This window comes from Homo sapiens, chromosome 2 (genome assembly GCF_000001405.40).
Source record: "Homo sapiens chromosome 2, GRCh38.p14 Primary Assembly".
Classification (NCBI taxonomy): Eukaryota; Metazoa; Chordata; class Mammalia; order Primates; family Hominidae; genus Homo; species Homo sapiens.
In genome coordinates, this window is record NC_000002.12 from 3694084 (window position 1) to 3716714 (window position 22631).

Here is a 22631-nt window from a genome sequence, read left to right on the forward strand (position 1 = left end):
ATTTCTGATCCACCAAAATAGCAACTTTATATGTCCAACCCAATTTGTACAGGATTCACGAGTTGAGGGAGGGTCTAAAATAGTTTCTGAGTGGAAGCCCTGCTTTTCTGGGTTGAATATGAAGGGTCCCTAAGCACATGAAAGCTCTTTCCTAATTGGTCAGCATTGATGGCCTGAAGAGGAGAGATGGGCAATGCCTGCATGCAGATTTCATGTCCCAGCTCTTACTGGCATCTTTAATTGCTCCATGAGGATTCCACCTGGGATCCAGGTGTAAAGGGAAAGGAAGCTGGGGAAACCTGGCTGATGTTACAGGGACACACTGGGTGGGAATGGGTTGGTTTAAATGAGATGTACTCAGAGGATGAAGAGTCATTTCTGGGATTCCTTGGCAGCTGTGACTAAAAGCAAGTTTGGATATTAACTCTGTAAAGAAGAATCTTATTTTTTAAAATGTGAAATCGACTTCACTTTCAACAGACGAATATCTTCTATGCCATTAAAGCCAATTATAATATTTAATGAACTAGAATGGCAGTGATATTACTCTCATAACCCGGCTCCTGCTGAATGACTCCCTCTAGGATATTTTCTAGGGTTTTATGCCAATGAAGTTTTTGGTTTTATTTGTTGTAAATAGCAAGACTTCCATTGTTTTACCAAAAAATTTTCAGATCACTCATTTTCACTAAATTTGTAAAATAAAAACATATAGGGCATGTTTTAGTACAATATTTTGATTAAATTAATTTTCTATATTAAAAATGCTTGGTTTCCACCTTCTAGCAATTAATATTCGAAGAAACAAAACATTCGTTCTACTAGAATCAGATGCTGTGAGTTGATTTTGGTAGCTATTTGCTGCTCTGCAGACCTAATTTCAGGCTGCTGTGGTTCTCAGCAGCAATTTGATTTTGTGAATATTATCTTTTGTATTCTGAATCACATTGCTAAGCAGGGTGGTGTTGTAAAAATAAAAACATAAGGTTCTCTTGTCTGAGTCTGTGTGGGAGTCAGCGATGCTTATTTCTAGCACGAAACATTATCTGTATGGTGAATTTCCCGAATGCTGTTTGACCTTGGAGTTGTTCATTTAATGAAAAAAACTTCAATGCCTACTATGTGCCCAGACCTCTTCTAGGTAGAGACGATACAAGAGTGGTACAGAAGTGAACAACACAGGTAAGTGGTCTGGCCTACAAGGATTTCGCATTCTGGGTATTGGAGACTGATTTTAGCAGGAACTTAAAAAGATAATTTCAGGCTGTGATTAGAGCTCTGGAGTAAATAACAAAGAGATATGATAAAATGTAACCTGGGGAGTCAGGCAGTGGCTGAATGGAGGAGGGAGGAGACAACTTCAGAGCATGAGAGGGAAGACTTTTCTGAGGCCATGCCTTTAAGGTGAGGAACATAAGTAATCTTTTGGAGAGCTGGGAAAGTTGTTCTGGTACAGGGTAATATCAAGTGCAAAGGCCCTGGGGCAGTGGGCTTGTTGTATTTGAGAAACAGCAGGTGGGTGTGGCCAAAGCCTACCAAGAGATGACACTGGAGAAGACAGGAGGGTCCTGTAGTGTATGATACACAAGCAGCCATTTTTACAAACAATAACTAAGGCACCTTTCCTTTTCAGATGGTGGAATTGCACGACTTAGAGTATTCGGTACTGGACAAAAAGACTGGACTGCAACTGACCCCAAAGAACCTGCAGACCTAGTGGCCATCGCTTTTGGGGGTGTCTGTGTAGGATTTAGTAATGCTAAGTTTGGGCACCCAAACAATATAATAGGTAAGATGATATTCTTGGAGCTGGCTTATTTAGGAAGTCTGGGTACCGGCATTAAATACCCCAATATGGTCAGAGTGATTTAAAAGGAAAGGCACATCTCAAAGCACAGCAGTGGATGAGATTAATCTTCCATGTGTAGGATTTGATGCCTTTATGACATGAAATAAGTCAACATTACCAATTTTTCTACCTAATTTTGGCCTAAGTAGCTGCTTTAAAAGGAAAAGTAAAATTTAACTAACCCTATGATTGTTTGTGAATTTACTGAAACATTAACTTTAATGAAAATAACTTATGTAGCAATGCTCAGATGCATAAGATCTGTAATTTAATTACAGCAATGTATTCATCCTCATAGTTAAAATCATGCAGTTTACCATTCAACAATGTTATTTTCTGTAGGAGTTGGCGGGGCAAAGTCTATGGCGGATGGTTGGGAAACTGCAAGAAGGCTGGACCGGCCACCAATATTAGAAGTAAGAAGTTAAAAATAACTATGGTTTAAAGTTTTTCTTAAAAGTATTTTTTGGAACTTTTTCTTTTAAATAAACTTTTGCACATTTTAGAAACCTCATATGCATTGTTCTAAATGCTAATTACTATGATTTATATTTTCCAAATTTCCCACTGTTTTCATAATATCAGGGCAGAGACTCAGAAGCCCAAACATACTGGTCATTGCCAGCTACGCCAATGCATTTTTGGAACATTCCTCTGTTTCTTCAATAAAGAAACAAAAGGAGCTGCGATTTAATAATACAAAAGTTATGAATAAATGTGTTGGGAGATCTGGGGAAGAACCACTAGTTTAGCAATGTTTGATATCTGTGTATCTCAGGATTACACCACTTATGTGAACTTGTGATGGACAGGGCGCTCTAGAGTCCATGCAGCTGTTTAATTTGGCCAGTAACTAATTTGAGATAGAGAAACCAAGATGAAGTGAAACAAAAAATACAATGCCTTTCAATTTGCAAATCCCACCAAAAACTTGGTCAGAAAAGTGCCCTCCCCTTCCTAAGTTAGATTTCATGTCACCTGATGCTTTGAGATATCAATGAACAGACTCTCCGTTCTCAAAACTAAGGTTTGAACGCACATCATGTATCAGTATAGGTTTGACCAACAAAATATGTACCTTAAAAGGTCAAAACAAACTAATTAGAGGAACTATGGACTGGAATAGACGAAGATTGCTGCACGTATAACATTTTGCAGGGATCTATAATTGACATAGAAATTTAGAAAAACGTATCTGGGACCCAATGAACTCACAAATTGGCAAGAGACATTTAAGAAATGATAGCAAAGAGGCAATTTACATGAAAGTGATTTACACATCAGGCCACAGGAAACACTCTTCTATAGTAAGAAATAAAAGAAACACGTCAACCTTTTTCACCTGTTGGTTTTCGGGACTGGTTTCTTGAATGACTCCAAGTTCGTTTACCATTTTCTTCTCTTCTGAATTCCAGAATGATGAGAATGGCATTCTCTTGGTTCCGGGTTGTGAATGGGCAGTTTTCCGATTGGCACATCCTGGAGTAATAACTCGAATTGAAATTGACACAAAATATTTTGAAGGTAAATGCAAAGCCATAAAGAAGTACCCTATAATTGGTTTGTTTATTCTAAAGACTGAGTTCTATGGAAGTGGGACTGAGGACACTGGACTTTCGGTGTGGATTCCCCGTTTAAGCTGTGTAATTTTGAGCATGCTACTTTAACCCTTAGAACTCTGTCTGTCTGTCTATCTATCTATCTATCTATCTATCTATCTATCTATCTATCTATCTTTTATTTATTTTTTTGAGATGGAGTCTTGCTGTGTCGCCCAGCCTGGAGTGCAGTGGCGCAATCTCAGCTCACTGCAACCTCCACCTCCAGGGTCCAAGCGATTCTCCTGCCTCAGCCTCCCGAGTAGCTGGGATTACAGGCATCCTAGACAATACCCAGCTAATTTTGTATTTTTAGTAGAGATGGGTTTTTGCCATGTTGGCCAGGCTGGTCTCGAACTCCTGACCTCAGGTGATTCACCCGTCGCAGCCTCCCAAAGTGCTGGGATTACAGGCCTGAGCCACTGCGCCCGACCCTTATTTATTTATTTTTGAGATGGAGTCTTGCTTTGTCACCCAGGTTGGAGTGCAGTGGCATGATCTTGGCTCACTGCAACCTCTGCCTCCTGGGTTCAAGCGATTCTTCCTGCCTCTGCCTCCTGAGTAGCTGGGATTACAGGTGCCCGCCATCATGCCTGGCTAATTTTTGTATTGTTAGTAGAGACGGGGTTTCACCATGTTGACCAGGCTGGTCTTGAACTCCTGACCTCAGGTGATACGCCCGTCTCGGCCTCCCAAAGTGGTGGGATTACAGGTGTGAGACCATGCCCAGCCAACCCTTTGAACTTTAGTAACTCCTCTATAAAATTCACATTTGGGCTGGATGACCCCCAAAGTCACACAAGATTCCATGACACTGTCCGGCTCTTTACCATAGAGGCTCTGCATCCCCCTTGGAAAAAGAGCCTGTGAAAAGCACCGGGATGGGAGGCACCTTTTTACAGAGAAGGGTCCTAAGCAGATTGACCGGGGAAGGGGAGTGACCATTTCTTCCCCAGGCTTCACTTTTAAGGCAGTGGTTTACACATTTTTAAAACCGTACACCTCTATGTGTTTAAAAAATATTTGGACAAACAACCTTGATATTCTGTATTTACTTTCTTATGAAATACATATGTGTATTATTAAGACAATTCAAAAGAAGTTGGTACACTTCTACAATTGTTATGTGACATTTTATAAATACTGGATTGAGTATTCCACGTTAGCCATCTTTGAATAAATAGTGGCATTTTGTATTCATGTTTTGGGTGAGTGGTTTTTATTTTTATTTATTTATTTATTTAATTATACTTTAAGTTTTAGGGTACATGTGTACAACGTGCGGGTTTGTTACATATATATACATGTGCCATGTTGGTGTGCTGCACTGGGTGAGTGGTTTTTAAATGTCTTGGGAATTATTGTGACTTTACTCAATTACTAACCATTATATCAAATTCAAGGCCAGGCTCATCATTAACAGTAGTGCCTATAATTATTTCAAGAAGTCTTGGTAATTTTAACTTATTTTGGAAAGACGGCATTTTATCTGTTTTTTCTTTTAACTATTATTTTAGGTTCAAGGGTAAATGTGCAGGTTTGTTATATAGGTAAACTTGTGTCATGGGGTTTTGGTGTACAGATTATTTTATCACGTAGGTATCAAGTATGGTACCCGATAAGTATTTTTGCCTGATCTCCCTCCTCCCACCCTCCACCTTCAATTATGCCCCAGTGTCCATGTGTTCCCATTATTTAGCTGCCACTTATGTAAACATATAGTATTTGGTTTTCTGTTCCTGCGTTAGTTTGCCAAGAATAATGCTCTCCAGCTGCATCCATGTTGCTGCAAAGGACATTATCTCATTCCTTTTTGTGGCTGCATAGTATTCCATGTTGTATATGTATCATATTTTCTTTAGCCAGTCTACAATTGATGGACATTTAGGTTGATTCCACGTCTTTGCTATTGTGAACAGTGCTGCAATGAACATACATGTGCATGTCTTTATGGCAGAATGATTTATATTCCTTTGGGTATATGCCAAATAATGGGATTGCCGAGTCCAATGGTAATTCTGTTTTTAGTTCTTTGAGGAATCGCCACAACACTTTCCACAATGGCTGAACTAATTTACACTCCCACCAGCAGGGTATATATGTTCCCTTTTCTCCACAACCTTGTCAACAACTGTTATTTTTTGATTTTTTCATAACAGCCATTCTGACTGGGAGATTGTATCTCCCAGTGGTTTTGATTTGCATTTCTCTAATGATTAGTGATGTCAGCCATTTTTTCATATGCTTGTTGGCTGCATGTATGTCTTCTTTTGAAAAGCATTTGTTTATGTCCTTGGCCAACTTTTTAATGGGGTTGTTTTTTGCTTGTAAATTTGTTTAAATTCCTTATAGATTCTGGATATTAGACCTTTGAAAGAACCATAGGTTGCAAATATTTTCTCCCATTCCGTAGGTTGTCTGTTTACTCTGCTGATAGTTTATTTTGCTGTGCAGAAGCTCTTTAGTTTAATTAGATCCCATTTGTCATTTTTTTTGCTTTTGTTGCAATTGTTTTTGGCATTTTCATCATGAAATCTTTGCCAGTTCCTATGTCCAGAATGGTATTTCCTAAGTTATCTTCCAGGGTGTTTATAGTTTTGGGTTTTACATTTAAGCCTTTAATCAATCTTGAGTTGATTTTTGTATATGGTGTAAGGAAGGGGTCCTGTTTCAATCTTCTGCATATGGCTAGCCCATTATCCCAGCACCATTTATTGAATTGGGATTCATTTCCCCATTGCTTGTTTTTTTAAGACTGCATTTTAGATCTGGTTATGTGGCCATGGTTTTTACTTTTCAATGTGGCTGACTGAGGGTCAGGTGAAATGGCAGTTCTGGATTTTCTTGTTCATACATACTTGCATTTTTTATGGTATCTTTAATCCACAGTTCTCTGCATGAATGGTTTAAAATAACTTACTTATTTTTGTGAGGGATGCTTTAGTTAAAACTAGATAACAAACAGTAAATCCACTTAAGCAGACACCCAAAACTGCAACAGGTCATGAATCTACCACTGTCAAACACTCAGGATACCTCTGGTACATACAATATGATGACTGTAATGGAAATGAGGGAGCATGGCAGTATCCACTTATAGCAATAATATAGTAGGTTATATCAAATACACAAAGCTTAATATACACATACATATGTATGTATATCAGACAAATAGAAATAGCAGCTCTAATGTTCTCTACTTGCATCCTTTGTGTCCGTATGCACCCCAGGGGCATGTTCGCCCACCCTGGAGACTACCGTTTTAAGAGATGGGCCACAAAGGGGGCATGTGAGCCACAGTCTCCTCTTTTCCAGGGTTCTTGATTAGCAGCTCCTCCTCTGTTGATCCTAAAGAGCTCCAGTAGAAGTTCTCTCTTCTCAAAGAGAGTGGGACCTTTCCCTCAAGGTCCTCTAACCCCACTGAGCCCACGATTCCTATGATATTCCAAAGAGAGAAGAATCTCAGGACCATATACTCTCACCTGAAGATGACTCAGAAATCCCCAAATACACGTGTGTGGCTGGTGCCCAGCGCTAGCTAACATAAAACTCAGTATTTCCTTTTGATTGTCATGTTAAAAAATATGTCATAGGAAAATATTTTCCAGCTTCATAATAATTTCAGATGAGCCACATAGCAGTCTGCAAGTAATTAAATCTGCAATTGAGGAAGCTTATCAAATACATTCAGATTTCAAAGTGAGAACGCTATACATGCAAATTGAAATGCGCCAGCCCCTTCACATATGGCGGACTGCTTCTGAGTCCTCTGAAAAAGAAATGTCTATTTCATGAGACAATCTGAGCCTCACAAACCGGTTTGTTCCTTCCCTCACATACTTCATACCTTTGCTTTTGCTCAGGAAGAGCAGGGACTTGTTTTTTGCTGGGTTTTTGATCTTATTAAAAAAGCATGATATCCTATACGCCAAACTGAGTGCAAATGCGGGCAGAAAATCACGCTGTGTTTTGCTCCAACAGGCAATGCTCCTGACAGCTGTAAAGTGGATGGGTGCATCCTGACAACTCAGGAAGAAGAAGCCGTGATCAGGCAAAAGTGGATTCTCCCGGCCCACAAGTGGAAACCACTGCTTCCAGTGACCAAGGTTCGTGTGGCATGTTATTCGGATCCAGCACTCAGACTGTGCTATTTCCCTAAGATTCTCTTTTGAAGGATTAGGATACGCTCCAAAGTTTCTGCTCAGTTTAATGGTAAAACGAATGAGGTTTAAAACCCCTATCTGCAAACTTTAAGAAGAAAGGCTCTATTTCTCTCCACTTTTGTATTTCCAAATTTTATTAGAACAAAATTGTTAAATGTTCAGAATACATACGTGGAAACATGTCTCTGCATCATGTTTAACTTTGTAGAAGGGGCGACTAGCACATTTAAAGCTCTAATGGCGTGTCCACCTGCAGGATGGATGCTCTGAGATATTCCACAAGTGTCTTCTTTGATTTAGAAAGAGGGTCAGGCTAGAGGTGAGAGCTGCTCCCATGTAAAGATAGGAAATAATCTCCGGGAGAGACCAAGATGGTCTCTTCCTTCATTTTCTTATCAATTTGCTTATGTATAATCAACTATTAGAAACAACTGATGGGCATTTAGGTTGCCCATCAATTGTTTATTGGGGCCTGCTTATTCATGTATTATTTGGGCATCCTATCCCTACTAGCAGATTTTCATGGAAAGCCCAATTATCATCAATTAATAACTTATTTTAAAGCCCCTTCGGTTAAGTCTAAGCCAAAGGTTTGCCCGGGCCGTGGGCTCATTCGGCCACACATGTCCTGTTAACAGACTAGGACCTCTGCATCTGCTTGCTTTTCAGTTGTCTCCCAACCAAAGTCATCTGTTCGATAGCCTGACCCTAGAGCTCCAAGATGTCATCACTCACGCCAGGCTCACCATCGTCCCCGACGGGGGAGTGAGCCGCCTTCGGCTCCGGGGCTTCCCCAGCTCCATCTGCCTCCTGAGGCCCCGGGAGAAGCCCATGTTGAAGTTCTCGGTGAGCTTCAAAGCAAACCCTTAACACACACAAAGCCCCGGTGTCGGACACACAGCAGTAATTTCCCAGTCATAGTCTTCTTTTCAAATGTTTTGAACACCTGGTGATTTAATAAAGTGGTCGTCTCACAAATTGATCTCTGTATTTAATGTTGCTATGAGGCATTTAGTAGCTTACATACTGGCTATGGCTGTGACTGGTGGTCTCTACGGAACTACTTTTTTTGAACATTATAAGATATTAATACTCATAATATCAATATCTGTACCTTCGGTGTGGACTTCCAGCCGTAACATGTAGCCTACTGACTGTCTAGAATCACTCAAGGGGACTGGCCTATCTTTACCCAGAGTAGGAACGATTCTTCCAAAGACCCCCTCTCCCTTTGAATCATTCCCCAATGAGGATGCGTTCTGAATGGCACGCGCCTGACACCGCACACCAGCGGCTATAGCGCGGTTCCTCACGGCCTCCCAGTGGCTCTGCACACCTCCTCCTCTGGTGGAAAAGCTCAAATTCCCCACTCTGGGCCAGGAGTCCTGGAAGACACTGGGGCTGAACCGGTCAAATTCAACCTAAGATCAAAGAAACAGAGGCTCAAAAAATGTGAAGCAGATCCCAGCACCCATCCAATGTTGATTGTCAAGATGGTCCTGGTCCCTCCCTAACCCTCCTCTCTACCGCTTCTACAGAGGAAGGCGGCGAGTGTAGGGGGAGGAGGCACGGTGGGCGTCCCGGGGCGCTCAGCACAATCATGCTAGCCGCCTCCTCCTCCTCTTTTCCTGAGCTCTGCCGCCACGCCCCTCACCTGCCCGGGCTCCCCGTTGCCCCCTCACCTGTCTCCGCCCTGTGCCGCGCCTCACCTGCTTGGGCTCCCCATTACCCAATCACCTGTCCCTGCCCCGTGCCGCCTGCTCACCTGCCCGGGTTCCCCGTCGCCCCGTCTCCTGCCCCGGCCCCGAGCCCCTCGCCCTGGCGGCCAGGCGGTCACAATCGCCCAGGGTCGCGTCAACACGCAGCCTCCGCCCGCCTGGCAGCCCCGTCCCGTCCCCGTCCAGCCCCCGTCCCGTCCCCGTCCCGTCCCCGTCCTGCGCCAGCGGCTGGAGCGGACCTCCCGTCGGCGGTGCCCGGGCCTGGGCGCGGCTCTGCAGGCGTCGCTGCCCGCGCTGCCGCAGCCTCTCGGCCCCGGCGAGCGAGGAGCGGGGCGCGGCTATGGGAACCCGCGGGCCCTCCGCGCCGGTGGACACCACGCCCGCCAAGACCATCGTGGTGTACCGCAACGGGGACCCGTTCTACGTGGGCAAGAAGTTCGTGCTGTCGCGGCGCCGCGCGGCCACCTTCGAGGCGCTGCTGGAGCAGCTCACGGAGCAGGTGGACGTCCCGTTCGGCGTGCGCCGCCTCTTCACGCCCACGCGTGGGCACCGGGTGCTGGGGCTGGACGCGCTGCAGGCGGGCGGCAAGTACGTGGCGGCGGGCCGCGAGCGCTTCAAGGAGCTCGAGTAAGTGCGCCCGCGCCCCCCACGCGCCCTGCGCCCCTCCCCGCCCTCTTGGGTCTGAGCGTGGTCAGGGCCGTGCCCCCCAGGTGTCCTCCCCAGGCTTCCCTCCCGGCTCGGGCGCCCATCTTTCGGCGTGGATCCAGCGCAGCCGGCGTCGGGCCGCCCCAGGCCACGTGGTTTCCTGGGGGCGAAGCCGAGGCAGCCCCGCCCCCAGGGTCCCTTCCTATGGGGCAGGGCGGGCCCTGGCCGGCAGCGATTCAGGACCGCCCCAGAGACGGCCAGGAGGGCGTGGGGGAGGGGCGTGGGGCAGAAACAGGGGTGTGGAGGAGGGCGTGGGGGAGGGGTGTGGAGAGGGGCGTGGGGGGCGTGGGGGAGGGGTGTGGAGAGGGGCGTGGGGGAGGGGTGTGGAGAGGGGCATGGGGGAGGGGTGTGGAGAGGGGCGTGGGGGGCGTGGGGAGGAGTGTAGGGGAGGGGGAGGGGGGAGGGGCGTGGGGGAGGGGCATGGGGCAGAAACGGGTGTGGAGGAGGGCATGGGGGAGGGGTGTGGAGAGGGGCGTGGGGGGCGTGGGGGAGGGGTGTGGAGAGGGGCGTGGGGGAGGGGTGTGGAGAGGGGCATGGGGGAGGGGTGTGGAGAGGGGCGTGGGGGGCGTGGGGAGGAGTGTAGGGGAGGGGGAGGGGGGAGGGGCGTGGGGGGGAGGGGCGTGGGGGGCAGGGCCTGGGAATGGGGCGGGTTGGGCAGTTCCCATTTGAAATCGCTCAGGGTGACCCCTCTCACTCTGTGTCCATCACTTGGTCCTGCGTGCATTTTCAAGCTTGCCTTTAATTAAACTATTGCCCTCCCACGGTTTGTGTCTGTAATCCCATTATTGCAGCCTGTGTCTGCTTTCTGTGATCTCAGCTGCTTTTCTCTCCTGATTCTCTGTTTCCTTGTAGGTTTACTTATTTTTTGACTGTGAACTACTCCTTTTGTATAGCTTTGTGTGGGGACATTCTTCAGGGCTGAGATAAAAGTGAGATTCCCCAGAGAGAATTTCCATTTTCTTCTTTCAAATGCTCTCCGTTCAAAAATGCTCTGAATTAAATCAGCAGCTTGAGTTTTGTTTGTTGTTTTTTGAAAAAGTAGTAGGATTTAGTATGAGGGCTGGTGTATGGTTCCAAATTCTTAGTGGCATTTGCAAAGATGTGAATTTACCATTCAGTTGTTTCTGAAGAAAAGTCGTAAGTCACAGGCATCACAGTTGCTAAGAGGTAGAATCTGGATTAGCATATTTCAGATTGAAATTTATTACTATGATAATCCTGTTATGTATTAGAATTCATGGACAAAATTATATTCCTTTATAGCCATGTGATTTGTGATTATTTTTTCCAAGCTAGTCAGATGGTGTGAATATCTAGAACTGACATCCTACCCAGGATCCAGTGTTCAGTGCTGATTTACAATTAAAGAATATATCTCTACAAAAACTGCCTTTAAAGTCCCTTTCGATACATATATAATGAAAAGTATTTAATTTTATCCCAAGACATTTTCTTGTAAAATTGGCCTGTGTTTTACATGTTAGCAAATGAGGAAGGAAACGTATCAAGCACCTGCCACGAAGCCTGGAGTGTGCCTGGGAGATGTTACTCTTTCCCCTTGCTGTGGGGCTGGATATTTTCTAACCAGACCGTGTTGTACCTCCAGTTTTGTAGAGAGAGTCTCGAGTCTCATGGTTTATTTAAAATGTTTTGGACATGTAGCAAAAATATTGAGAAAAAATTGAGATGTTTTTCTTCCCAGTGCTCTTACTGTTTATTTTACTTTTTGGGAGGAAAGAAATGTCACCCACTGCAGAGGGAGGGGAGTTGGGGTCCGTGTGGCAGACAGCCTGGGTTATTTTGCATTATCTATTATCCATGCATCTTCACTGCTGTAAAATAGATGAGCCATGTCTGCATGTGAAGTTCAACATAGAGAGCACGTGGGGTTCCTTTTCTTCAGTTTTTTTTAGGTCAGTGAGTCTGAAATTGGAATTCAGACTTTGGTGAACAAAGCTCTGAAAAATGTGGCTGGATTTTCACTGGTATTAGTAAAGTAAACTAGCTCTTGGAAATTTATATTCTGTAATTGCTAAGCCATTGAGCAGTTCAATTAATTTTCACTGGAAAATAATATTCTAATTGTGTCACCAGCAAATGAACTTTGAAGTGAAGCCTGTTGATATATTAGTGATCCGGGAGCTCCCCTCATAATAGTGGTTTCAAGATGGTGCATTAAAAAGACAAACACCAACAAATCTATCCAATATCCAGCCATTACTCAGACATTTCCTGCATTTTCTGGAAGAAAATAATTTGAGACCCAAAGGACATAATTTTTTTCTTTATAAAACAAAATATTATAAGATAATAATTACTTTTCAAAACAATGACGTGTCATATAAAGCCTAGAATTAATATTTCTTTTGTGGAGAAAGCCACATTTACAACAAAATCTAAATCAGGGTGTTGTGTATGTGTGCACGCATGTGTGTGCGTGTGTGTGTGTATGTGTTTAGGGGAGGGACCCCAAAGAATTTGAATGCTTAGGAATATTACCCTGTTTACTTTAGAGCTTGTTGCTGAGACATGAATGTGAACATGCTATTTGAATCAAAGTCTCCTCGTTCTTCCTCAACCCAGCCTTTTCCTCTCATCTCCCTGGCCACCCATTTGTACCTGGGAACTAGCCGCAGATGACAGGAGAAAGAGGAAAAGTGGGTGGAGAGGAAGTTGTGATAGATGACAGGAATGTTGGCCTCAGAGCCAGAGACTGGTGGAATTTAATCCTGGCTTTGTCTACCTGAGTAACGTTCAGCAAGTGAAATAACCTCTCCAAGACTTGGTTTCCTCATCCATAAAGCAGGCTGGCTTCACATCCACTCTGCGGTACGGTTGGGAGAATGGAATGAATGCAGTAGGGTAAGGTGCCTGGCACGGATTCTCATGGGTGGTTTCTTCCCTTCCTTTGTTCTCTGGAAGTAGCCGGGAGGGAGCTTGCACCTCATGGTCCCATCACTGCTTCACAGACCTACTCCCCGCCCACCTCAGAGCAAGCCAAGCCCACCCAGCAGGCTTCTCTATGTGCCTGAGTTAAAGACCTCAGGTCATGGGCTGTCTGAGGAACTATTTGTCCTTTCTTTCTGTTTTTATAAGTTCTTGGGAGTGCAACATTGAAATAATAAATAGTATTTTGTGTTTTTGTAGGATCTTTTTATGCTTTTTTTCTGTGTTAAATTTTATTTTTTGGTTCCATGTAATGAAAATCAGATGTCTCATTTGGGAGATTAATGTTCATAAACAAATATGGAATTTGGGAATTTAGAACAAATTTAAAATATTTATTTGGAAAACAGGAAGACTAGACTAAGCTAGTGAAGAGTGCATACAAGGGCCTCTAAGCAAGTGGAGAGGCTCAGGCTGAACTCAGCCAGCAGCCATGTTTTGTTCAGTTCATACAATTTTCAAAGATTTGAGTTGGCTGCAACATTTTATAATTGGGAGAACTCATGTAATAATATGAACTTTTGGTCTCCCTTGGAAAAAATAGAGGATTTGATTGTTCAGAGGACTTGGTTGTAGCTGCGTGCATCTCCGCTATCTGGACCTGTGAGGCCCTGTCCGCCTCAGAAGGGAAAGGATGGTCCCACCAGCCACAGCCCCCACCAGTCCCTGAGACCACCCTTGGCGAGTGCCATCATTTACTTGACCAGTTTCTGTGGGGATCTGCATCCGTGACTCTTTATTGAACACTTAGTTATTTCTTCCCCTTCTATTTACCAGTCTAAGTTGACCCTTCTCTGAATATTGCTGAAACTATCAAAAACAATAACAATCTCAAATACATATTTTTTTAATCAGGAAGAAACCTTAGTATCAGATATAAATTTGAAGGTATTATTTATTACCCATGAAAACATTTTATTTTTGAGGAATATGGAAGTCTCAAAAGTCCCCAACAGTAAAAAAAATTGTGTTAGTAGGGCTCAGACACATTTTATGCTGGTGACTCTTTTCCAGTTTGCAGTTTTGGCAAAAGGAGAACAGTGCTGAATTTCTGTGAGCAGGAGGGAGCGGTGGGGGTGCAGAGGAGCTGGAGGAGAGTCTGGGTTTTTGTTCCGACCTTAGCCTGTCATGGGAACATTGATGAGCTCGCAGTTCTGGGCCTTCAGCGACCTGGTTAAAGAATGCTGTTGAATTAGATGATTTCTCAGGTTTCTCTTTAATAAAATTACGTGAGGGAAAGCAATGTCACTTAAGAGACACTTTCAAGGGGCAGTGCCAGTGGTACCCAGTGTGAAAACTGTCCTACAGCAGCATTGCTATTGTATTCTGATGTGGATTCTAACACCGAGAAAATTTTAGATCCTAGTTCCAAATTGCTGTGGGGTTGTATCTATTAAGCCGGAAAAGGACTCGTTTCTAAGGAGTCTGGAACTTTCTATGTAAATATCTTCCTTCTAATGATGTTTTCTTCTTTCTTCTTTTGCAGTTATATTCATATAGTTCCCCGAAAACCTGCAAAGATAAGGAAGTTGAAGGAAGTAAGTGTTTGCTTCTAACAACTAATAATGGAATAAATTGGCCAACTTGGTAAAAATTTAAATGTCGGCACGGAATAATTGAAGTTTCACAGAAGCAGTAAATGCCTGCAGAGATGTGTTGCTCTTGAAGCCAGAACACACTGTGCAAGCTTGTCATACTTGTCAAAGCACTGAAGTAACCAAGTGGCGGAAGGCAGTGAAGAGAGGCTAAGATGTGCAGAGGGAGATAGTCATCTCTGAGGCACACCGTGCAATTAATTCAAGTGTTCATTTTCCTTTTGTTTTGGGGGGGTTTGGAAAGACAGGTCTCAGGAAAAGTTATTTAGAGTTATGCAATGCTGAAGCTAATTATAATGCTAAATTTAAAGATTTGTCCCAAGTGCTCAACATTTTTGTACGTGATAGACATTTATTAGGTCTACAGGACAGAACATTCCATCACACCGTTCTTATCATTTGATTCTTAGTAAAAATAACCATTTAATTTGTTTAAAGAGACATGCCTTTTTTATAAGCAATAAAAACCACAGTTTTAAGCCAGGTAGCCTGTTGATATTTAGAATTTAACATAATTTTGACTTAAAAACGGACTTATTTTGTGGATTATTACACAGGTGAGTTATTTTGAGGGTATCTACTTCTCTAAGTTGCAATGTTGCTGTTCTTAAATTTCCTCACCTGTAAAATGGAGATGATAATAGATACCTCAGAAGCTCGTTGTAAGGACTAAATGGTAAAATCTGTATAATGTGCCAGCACTAGTTAAGGGCTTCCCCTCCACATCTTACAGAAGCGGCTCTTCTCTGTGTCTTTGGAGCATCACCCAGAGCTCCATGCAGGACACGCCAGCAGCCCCAGCATTGTTCACAGGCACCAGCTTCCAGAAGCGTTCCGCTGCCTTCTTGGAGTCTGCCCTTGAGGGCAGTTAAAATAAGTCAAATTTATTACTTTACTCACCTTAAATTGTAACTTGCCAAGGACGAGAGGGCAAGTTTCCAACTAGAAAGCAATTCTGGCAGTCACTGAATTTCAGGGCTACCTTAATAAAGAGTGTGGAAATGATTTGTGATCATCCTGACACCTCTATACCTGTTTCCCCTCTACCTGTGGGGCTGGGAGCAGGATTAAGCAACAATTTTGGAAATCACCCTTGAGAATATTTGTTAGAGTTTGAGTCTCGGTTCATCCTTTGCATATTTCAGTGATTTAAATAAGATATGATTTAAAAGGCAATATTTTAGGACAGGGAGGAAATTTCAGACTATCTTGTCAAAACTTCTTGTTTTCTAGTAGAGGAAGCCTTGGTCTACAGACGTGAAACACTGAGCAGGCACACCAGGATGTCTACACCCGCGCTGGCCTTGTCCTCCTAGGGCAGGCATTAGGTTGCTGGGCACTCACTCTATGAGGCTATAGTTACCCAAAAGAGTTTAAAAAATTTTTATTTTTGAATTTCCACTTTGTTCATTTCAAAAATGTGATTATAAAAGTAGTTCTCATTGACAGAGGTGTCAAAAATACTGTGCAGAAAATCAAAACTACGGTGAGATACCATCTCACACCAGTCAGAATGGCTATTTAAAAATTATTTTATATTTTTTTCTTCAACTTTTAAGTTCAGGAGTACATGTGCAGGATGTGCAGGTTTGTTCCACAGGTAAACATGTGCCATGGTGGTTTGTGGCACAGATCATCCTATCTCCTAGGTATTAATCCCAGCATCCTTTAGCTACTCTTCCTGATACTCTCCCTCCCCTCATTCCTCCTCTCTGACAGGCGCCAGTGTGTGTTGTTCCCCTCCCTGTGCCCATGTGTTCTTATCATTCAGCTCCCACTTACAAGCGAGGACATGTGGTGTTTGGTTTTCTGTTCCTGCATTAGTTTGCTGAGGATAATGGCTTCCAACTCCATCCATGTCCCTGCATGAGTACATTGTGAGATGCTGAGGTTTGGGGTATAATTTATTCGGTCACCCAGGCAGTGAGCATAGTATCCAATAGTTAGTTTTTCAACCCTTGCCCCATTCCCTCCGTCCGCCATCTATTAATAGTAGTATCCAGTGACTACTGTCATCATCTTTACACCCATGAGTACCTACTGTTTAGTTCCCACTTACAGGTGAGAACATGGAGTGTTTGGTTTTCTGTTCCTGCGTTAATTCACTTAGGATAATGGCTGCAGCTGCATCCATGTTCTTTTTTATGGCTGCATAGTATTCCACGGTGTATATGTACCACATTTTCTTTATCCAGTCCACCACTAATGGGCACAAGGTTGATTCAATGACTTTGCTATACCGAATAGTGCTGCAATGAATGTATGAGTGCATGTGTCTTTTTGGTAGAATGATTATTTTCTTTCTTGAATGGTAGTTCTAAGTTCTTTGAGAAACCTCCAACGGCCCTGCATAGTAGCTGAACTAATTACATTCCCACCAACAGTGTATAAGCATTCCCTTTTCTCCACAGTCTCACCAGCAACTTCTGTTTTTTGACTTTTTCAAAATAGCCATTCTGCTATTATTAAAAAGTCAAAAAACAACAGATGCTGGCAAGGTTGTGGAGAAAGAGAACACTTTTACACTGTTGGTGGGAGGGTAAATTAGTTCAACCATTGTGGAAGACAGCATGGTGACTGCTCAAAGACACTAGAGGCAGAAATAGCATTTGGCCCAGCAATGCCGTTACTGGGTATATACCCAAGGGAATATAAATCATCCTGTCATAAAGATACATGCACATGTATGTTCACTGCAGCACTATACACAATAGAAAAGACATGGAACCAACCTAAATGCCCATCAATGACAGACTGGATTAAAAAAAAAGTGGTACATTTACACCATGGAATACTATGCAGCCATAAAAAAAGAATAAGACCATATTCTTTGCAGGGACATGGATGGAGTTGGAAGCCATTATCCTCAGCAAAAATAAAAATTTTTAAACTCTTTTGGGCAACTATAGCCTCATAGAGTGAGTGCCCAGCAACCTAGTGCCTGCTCTAGGAGGATGTGATTTTTAATGCCTGAAAACTATTCCACCATGTGAGTTTATCATAATTATGTAGCTCATCCTCTTTGAGCAGATCTTTGCCTTTTTGCTATTTTAAACAGTGATGTAATGTAATGGACCCTTTGTGGAGACAAGTTTGTTCACATTAATGATTGCTTATAGAGAAGTAGAATTAACACGCATTATTTTAACCTCTTTACTATTTACTTCTGGATTGGATTCCATAATATTTCTGAAAACTTACATTGCTTCTGACAGCGTGTGAGATGCCCAACACCACCCTCTGGGGTCGTGGGGATGGAGCAGTATCATGTCAGCGTGCGTGGCCTGGAAGTGCCTGATGCTCATGATCCTGCCCCCATTTCCTTTTGTGGAAGTAGTCACCCCTAGAAAGGGTTTGCCATTATTATTGTTTGTTGTGTAAATGCTTGTCTTGGTGGGACAAGCATTTGCCTGGACACATGTCAATGGTGGAGCCAACCCTGAATGAGTTGGAACCACCACCAAGAGCTTTGGCCGACACACATGATTTACTCCAAGAACTCTGCTGTGCCTGGAGGGGACCGTAAGAGTAGCTGAGATTCAGAGCTGTGTCCTGCTGCCCCACACGAGAACACAGAGCTAATCAGTCACAGGACCGAAGGCTGCCCGTCACTCCCAGTGGCATCACTACTACTTACTAAACCACAGTTTGCCTGCCTTGTGGCTTATGGGGATGCACCTATGATCCCAGAGACAGTATAATACCTAACGAACTAAAAGACTTGTTGGCCAGGTGCCATGGCTCACACCTGTAATCCCAGCACTTTGGGAGGCCAAGGTGGGAGAATTACTTGAGCCCAGGAATTCTAGACCAGCAAGACCCTATCTCTACAAAAAAAAAAAAAAAAAATTATCCAGGCATGGTGGCACGTGGGAAGCTGAGGCGGGAGGATCACTTGAGCCCAGGTGTTTGAGGATGCAGTGAGCTATGATTGCACAACTGCACTCCAGCCTGAGCAACAGAGTGAAATCCTGTCTCAACAAAAAAGACTTGTCTTTGCTTGTTTTCCTTGCTTATTATGTTCCAGAAATAGAAATGCTTTGGTGAGATGCCAAGTGCCAGGACTTCATGGGTTTCTTTGTGAGGCCCCCATGCTGCCGATTTTCTATGTGACCATATTCACATAGCCAGGGCTGAGATGCCTGCACACCACAATGTGCATTGGAGAGTCGTGTCAGTCCTTGAATGCTTCATCATCGTGTTCAATGTCCAGAAGTTTCCTCTCTTTTAACACGGAATGTTGTGTGGCTTATGTTCTCAGCATGTTTTCACACCTATAGTCTCATCTGCAAAAATGGAAAAATAGCAACCATGTGAGTGAGGCAGAGCAGGCCTTAATACATGCCATTTAAAAGATGAATAAAGAGTTCAAGAAAGGTTAAGCACCATCTGCTGTTGGGTGGCTCGTTTGCAGTAGAGCTTGGACTAAAATCAAGCATTCTAGGAATGACTCCAGGATTTCTCCCACTCTTTTCCCAGGAAAAGACCCATGACTGCTTTTGTACAACTTGCTAGTATTAAATGAATTTCTTCCATTTAATTCAAAGACGTCATCGTAGGAATTTTTTCTGATAGATGTTCAAGCCCTTACATCACAGAAGGAGAACCCTGGTGTGCAGTGGCAGCGGAAGGCACCTCCCAGTGTCTTGAGTGAAGGTGCAAAGCAGCTCTCCCAGGGAAAACGCGGGGAGCCAGCAGGATGGGGCACAGGGTTCTCCATGATCCATGCGAGGGGCTGGGGGAGCTTCCATAGGAAGAGCACCAGAATGAGGGCCTTCCCCCCTCTGCTGCTCCACCTCTTTCTAGGGTGAGTTGAGAACAGCTGCATCCCGGGTGCCCAGGGTCAGGGGAGCTGCATGTCTCGGCCCTAAAAGCTCCTGGAGACCTTGTTGGAAGTTAAGGCCATGTGCAGCCCTTCCTGCACTGGTTCCAGCTTGATAGGCCTTGGTCTGATCACACACTGGGGTTTAAGGATGTTTACAGTAGCATTTTGTTTTTAAATTACGAAATGTTGGGGACAACCTGAATGTCCACTAGTACAGAAATGGCTAAATGATTCATGTTATGTCATCCCAGGATTAGATCTGTAGGGATTGATCTAAAATGGTATCTGTCAGAATGTGAGCAAGATTAAGTGAGATGATCTTTGTAAATCACTTTGCCTGTGCTTTTGACATACAGCAAGAGCTCAATAAGTAGTTAGTGCTATTATTATTCATAATGCCTTTAAATTGTAGCTGATCCTATCCAAATTTGAGATCCATGATTGCCTACAATTTGAATACCAGTGTAAACTGTTTTACAAATTAAATGTGGCATAAGCTTTTGCCAAGTCCAAAAATTCAATGTCTAAATGTTTTACTAAGTCATTTAGCCTTAGTTTATGATACAGTAATACAGAGCAGAAAGACCTAGCTTCTGTAAATTATTCTTTCACAGAATTTCTGTTTTGATCAAAATATATTAATGGGAAAATTGAAGAAGCTTCCCAAGAGATTTTGATTTATGTAGAAATTTACTTAAAATTAATTAGAATACCATAATATACATTTAATATTGTAATAGAAATGATTTTTAAAATACTTCAATATAATGAATTTGAAGTTGCACTTCATTAAATGGAGGGACAAGGACAATTAGATTAGGAACAAATGCTCTTGGGGTCTTGGCTTTCAATGACTGTGCCATGTTGGTTTAATGAGAAAAGTGTCCTTGGTCTTAATTCAATGGAAGGACTTCTATTATAGTACAACATTGAGATTTCTGGTTTGTAATCTCAAGTTGTAGAGATTTAGGCAGATTTGCTAGGAACAGATGAATCCCAATTCAATGTTTTTTCCCCCCATGAAGGATCTGTTTCAATTCTGCTCTTTCAGTGGGCCTATCCTGGACTAAACAACAAGTGTACCATTCATTTAGACCACATTTTTGTCATGGAAGAGAAGGATGTGATTTGCTGAGTTGAATTTTTTAGATCACTGAAGCCTACCAATGAATCTAACTCAAAGGATGTTTTAAAATTAATTTCTTAATATACATTTTAACAAAGTGTTTTACATGATTTCCTGCCTTACTGAAAAGCCTGGAGAATAAAATTTAACTTTGTCCAGGTGACTCAAGCTTAGGCTGCAGTACTTTGGGCTGGCTGAACCAATACTCACTTCCACTATACTTCTTAGTGATCTTGCCAATGGCGAGACCACTGTTTGCCGTTTGCTGTTGACCTGTCAGGAACACATTTGGAAGCTTCTGCTTCCATTTTTAAAAAAGTACCCTATAATTCATGCTCATTGTAGAAAAATGAGAAAATATATGTAATTTAAAAGAAAAACATATTCATAATCCTATCATTCAGAGATTAACCACTGTTTTTCCATATGCTTTTGACATGTACACATATACCTACATACATGTATATACTCCTAGCTTTATAAATGTATTTATTTAAACAAAATGGGAGCATAATCTACATTTTTTTCAAAACTCCTTTCTATTTAATGATGTATCATGAAATCTCTACATGTCAAGCAATATATTCCTGTAATACTTTTTAGTGGATTTAGAATGTTGCATTAAGAGATGTATAACATATGTTTTTAAAACCAGCCTTCTTTTGCTTGAGATTTAGAGAACCTTTTTATATGTCCTACTAAACTGCTCTCCTGAGAGATTATACCAAGTTAAATCTGTGCCCATTGTGAGACTGGATGTTTCCCACACCTCCCAAACACTGTGTGTTATCCTTAATTTTCCCAACACATTGCCATGCTGGTGCCATAGCTTTGTGGAAATATCATGGGCTCTGTAATTCGGACAAATTAACTTCTCTGATGCTCAGTTAATGGGTATGGCTGTATCTAAGAAATAGGGGTTAAATGTAATTATGCATGTATTCTGCTCATCACAACATCCTAAACTTTCCATCCATCCATCCATCCATCCATCCATTCATCCAATTTAATCTGAATGCTTGTGTATTTGGAAGTGTTTGCTTTCCTGTGGCTGATTATGCCACAGCAGCAACACAAAACCAAATAATATGTGTATGTGTACTAAGCCCAACGGTTTTTTCACTAAATACTTCTTGAGCACTGGTTATGTACCAGGTACTATTTGAAGCAGTTGTACAAAAAGGAAAAACATCTCTGCCCTCAGGGAGCCTGCATTTCAGGTGGTGAGACAGATAATAAACAAAATCTATACAATATAGAGTATGTGGGGGATATGAAATGTCATGCTGGGGGCTGTTTGATTTTAGGATGACCAGGTGGTCTTCACTGAGGAGGTGACTTTTGAGTCCAGACTCAAAGAAGTGAGGGAGCTGCCTATTTAGATATCTTGGGCAAAAGCATCCTGAGAGGGAGAACCGACGGTGCAAAGGACACTGGCCTGTTGTTCAGGGAGTGACATGGACCTTGAGCAAGAGTGTTTGGGTGCCATGTTGATAGCCATGAGTTAGGAGGCTGCTGCAATGATCCAGGCAAGGGACAGTGGGGATTTAGATCATTGTGGTGGCGTTGGTGATTATGAATTCACGCTGGGAGTCAGTGTGGGCAGAACAAAGGGAGTTCCGATGACAGGGTCCTGGAATGCTTAGAGGGCAGGGAGGTGAGAAGGAGCAGAGAGGGCTGGAGAAAGTCCAGGTGAGTGCAGGATGCTGGGTGATGAGAGACAGGGTGGGCCATCTGTGTCAAACGCTGCTGACCAGACAAGGAAGATGAAGACTGAGATGCTGACCAGACAAGGGAGATGAAGACTGAGATGCTGACCAGAAAAGGAAGATGAAGACTGAGATGGGACCATTGGATTTAGTAATATGGAGGTCGTGGGCAGAAAAGAATAGAAGAGAGATGGGAGATACAAACTGCTCTTTAAATGAGTTTTGCTCTAAAGGAAGGAGAGAAATGTAGAGGTAACTGGAGGGGGAAACAGAGCGAAGAGAGTTTTTCTAAGAAGTGACATCATGTACGTGATGATGGGAGTAGCCATTGCAGAGGGAAAATTGATGATGTAGGACAAAATAGGGAGAATTACTTGAGAAATGGCCTTGGGTGGGT

At 43.0% G+C, this 22631-nt stretch overlaps 2 protein-coding genes and 1 long non-coding RNA gene across 19 annotated transcripts in view; 2 read left to right on the forward strand and 1 right to left on the reverse strand.

Moving 5' to 3' along the window:
* Positions 1 to 8588, forward strand: part of ALLC (allantoicase) — a 56853-nt gene extending 48265 nt beyond the window's left edge. For all 6 annotated transcript variants that reach the window (XM_017004495.2, NM_018436.4, XM_011510369.3 and 3 more), the window contains 5 exons: positions 1634 to 1789; positions 2192 to 2265; positions 3265 to 3373; positions 7429 to 7553; positions 8280 to 8588. In XM_017004495.2, coding sequence (XP_016859984.1) covers positions 1634 to 1789; positions 2192 to 2265; positions 3265 to 3373; positions 7429 to 7553; positions 8280 to 8480 — 665 coding nt within the window. In that variant the 3' untranslated portion in view covers positions 8481 to 8588. The remainder of the gene's footprint in view (positions 1 to 1633; positions 1790 to 2191; positions 2266 to 3264; positions 3374 to 7428; positions 7554 to 8279) is intronic.
* LOC105373393 (uncharacterized) lies at positions 8477 to 9417 on the reverse strand. Its single transcript, XR_922732.1, has 3 exons — positions 9376 to 9417; positions 8725 to 9031; positions 8477 to 8556 (listed from the first exon to the last, which is right to left on the reverse strand). It is a non-coding gene; the product is annotated as an uncharacterized LOC105373393 (long non-coding RNA).
* A 74-nt stretch (positions 9418 to 9491) lies between these two features.
* DCDC2C (doublecortin domain containing 2C) overlaps positions 9492 to 22631 on the forward strand; it is a 144434-nt gene continuing 131294 nt past the window's right edge. For 10 of the 12 annotated variants that reach the window (XR_007081579.1, NM_001287444.2, XM_047445725.1 and 7 more), the window contains exons 1-2: positions 9492 to 9955; positions 14466 to 14517. Coding sequence is in view for 11 of the 12 variants with exons in the window: in NM_001287444.2 (NP_001274373.1) it covers positions 9669 to 9955; positions 14466 to 14517 (339 nt within the window). In the remaining variant the exon portion in view is untranslated. Of the gene's footprint in view, positions 9956 to 12758; positions 12896 to 14465; positions 14518 to 22631 lie in introns of those variants that run through there. The other 2 variants (NM_001365580.2, XM_047445727.1) reach the window with 1 other exon arrangement.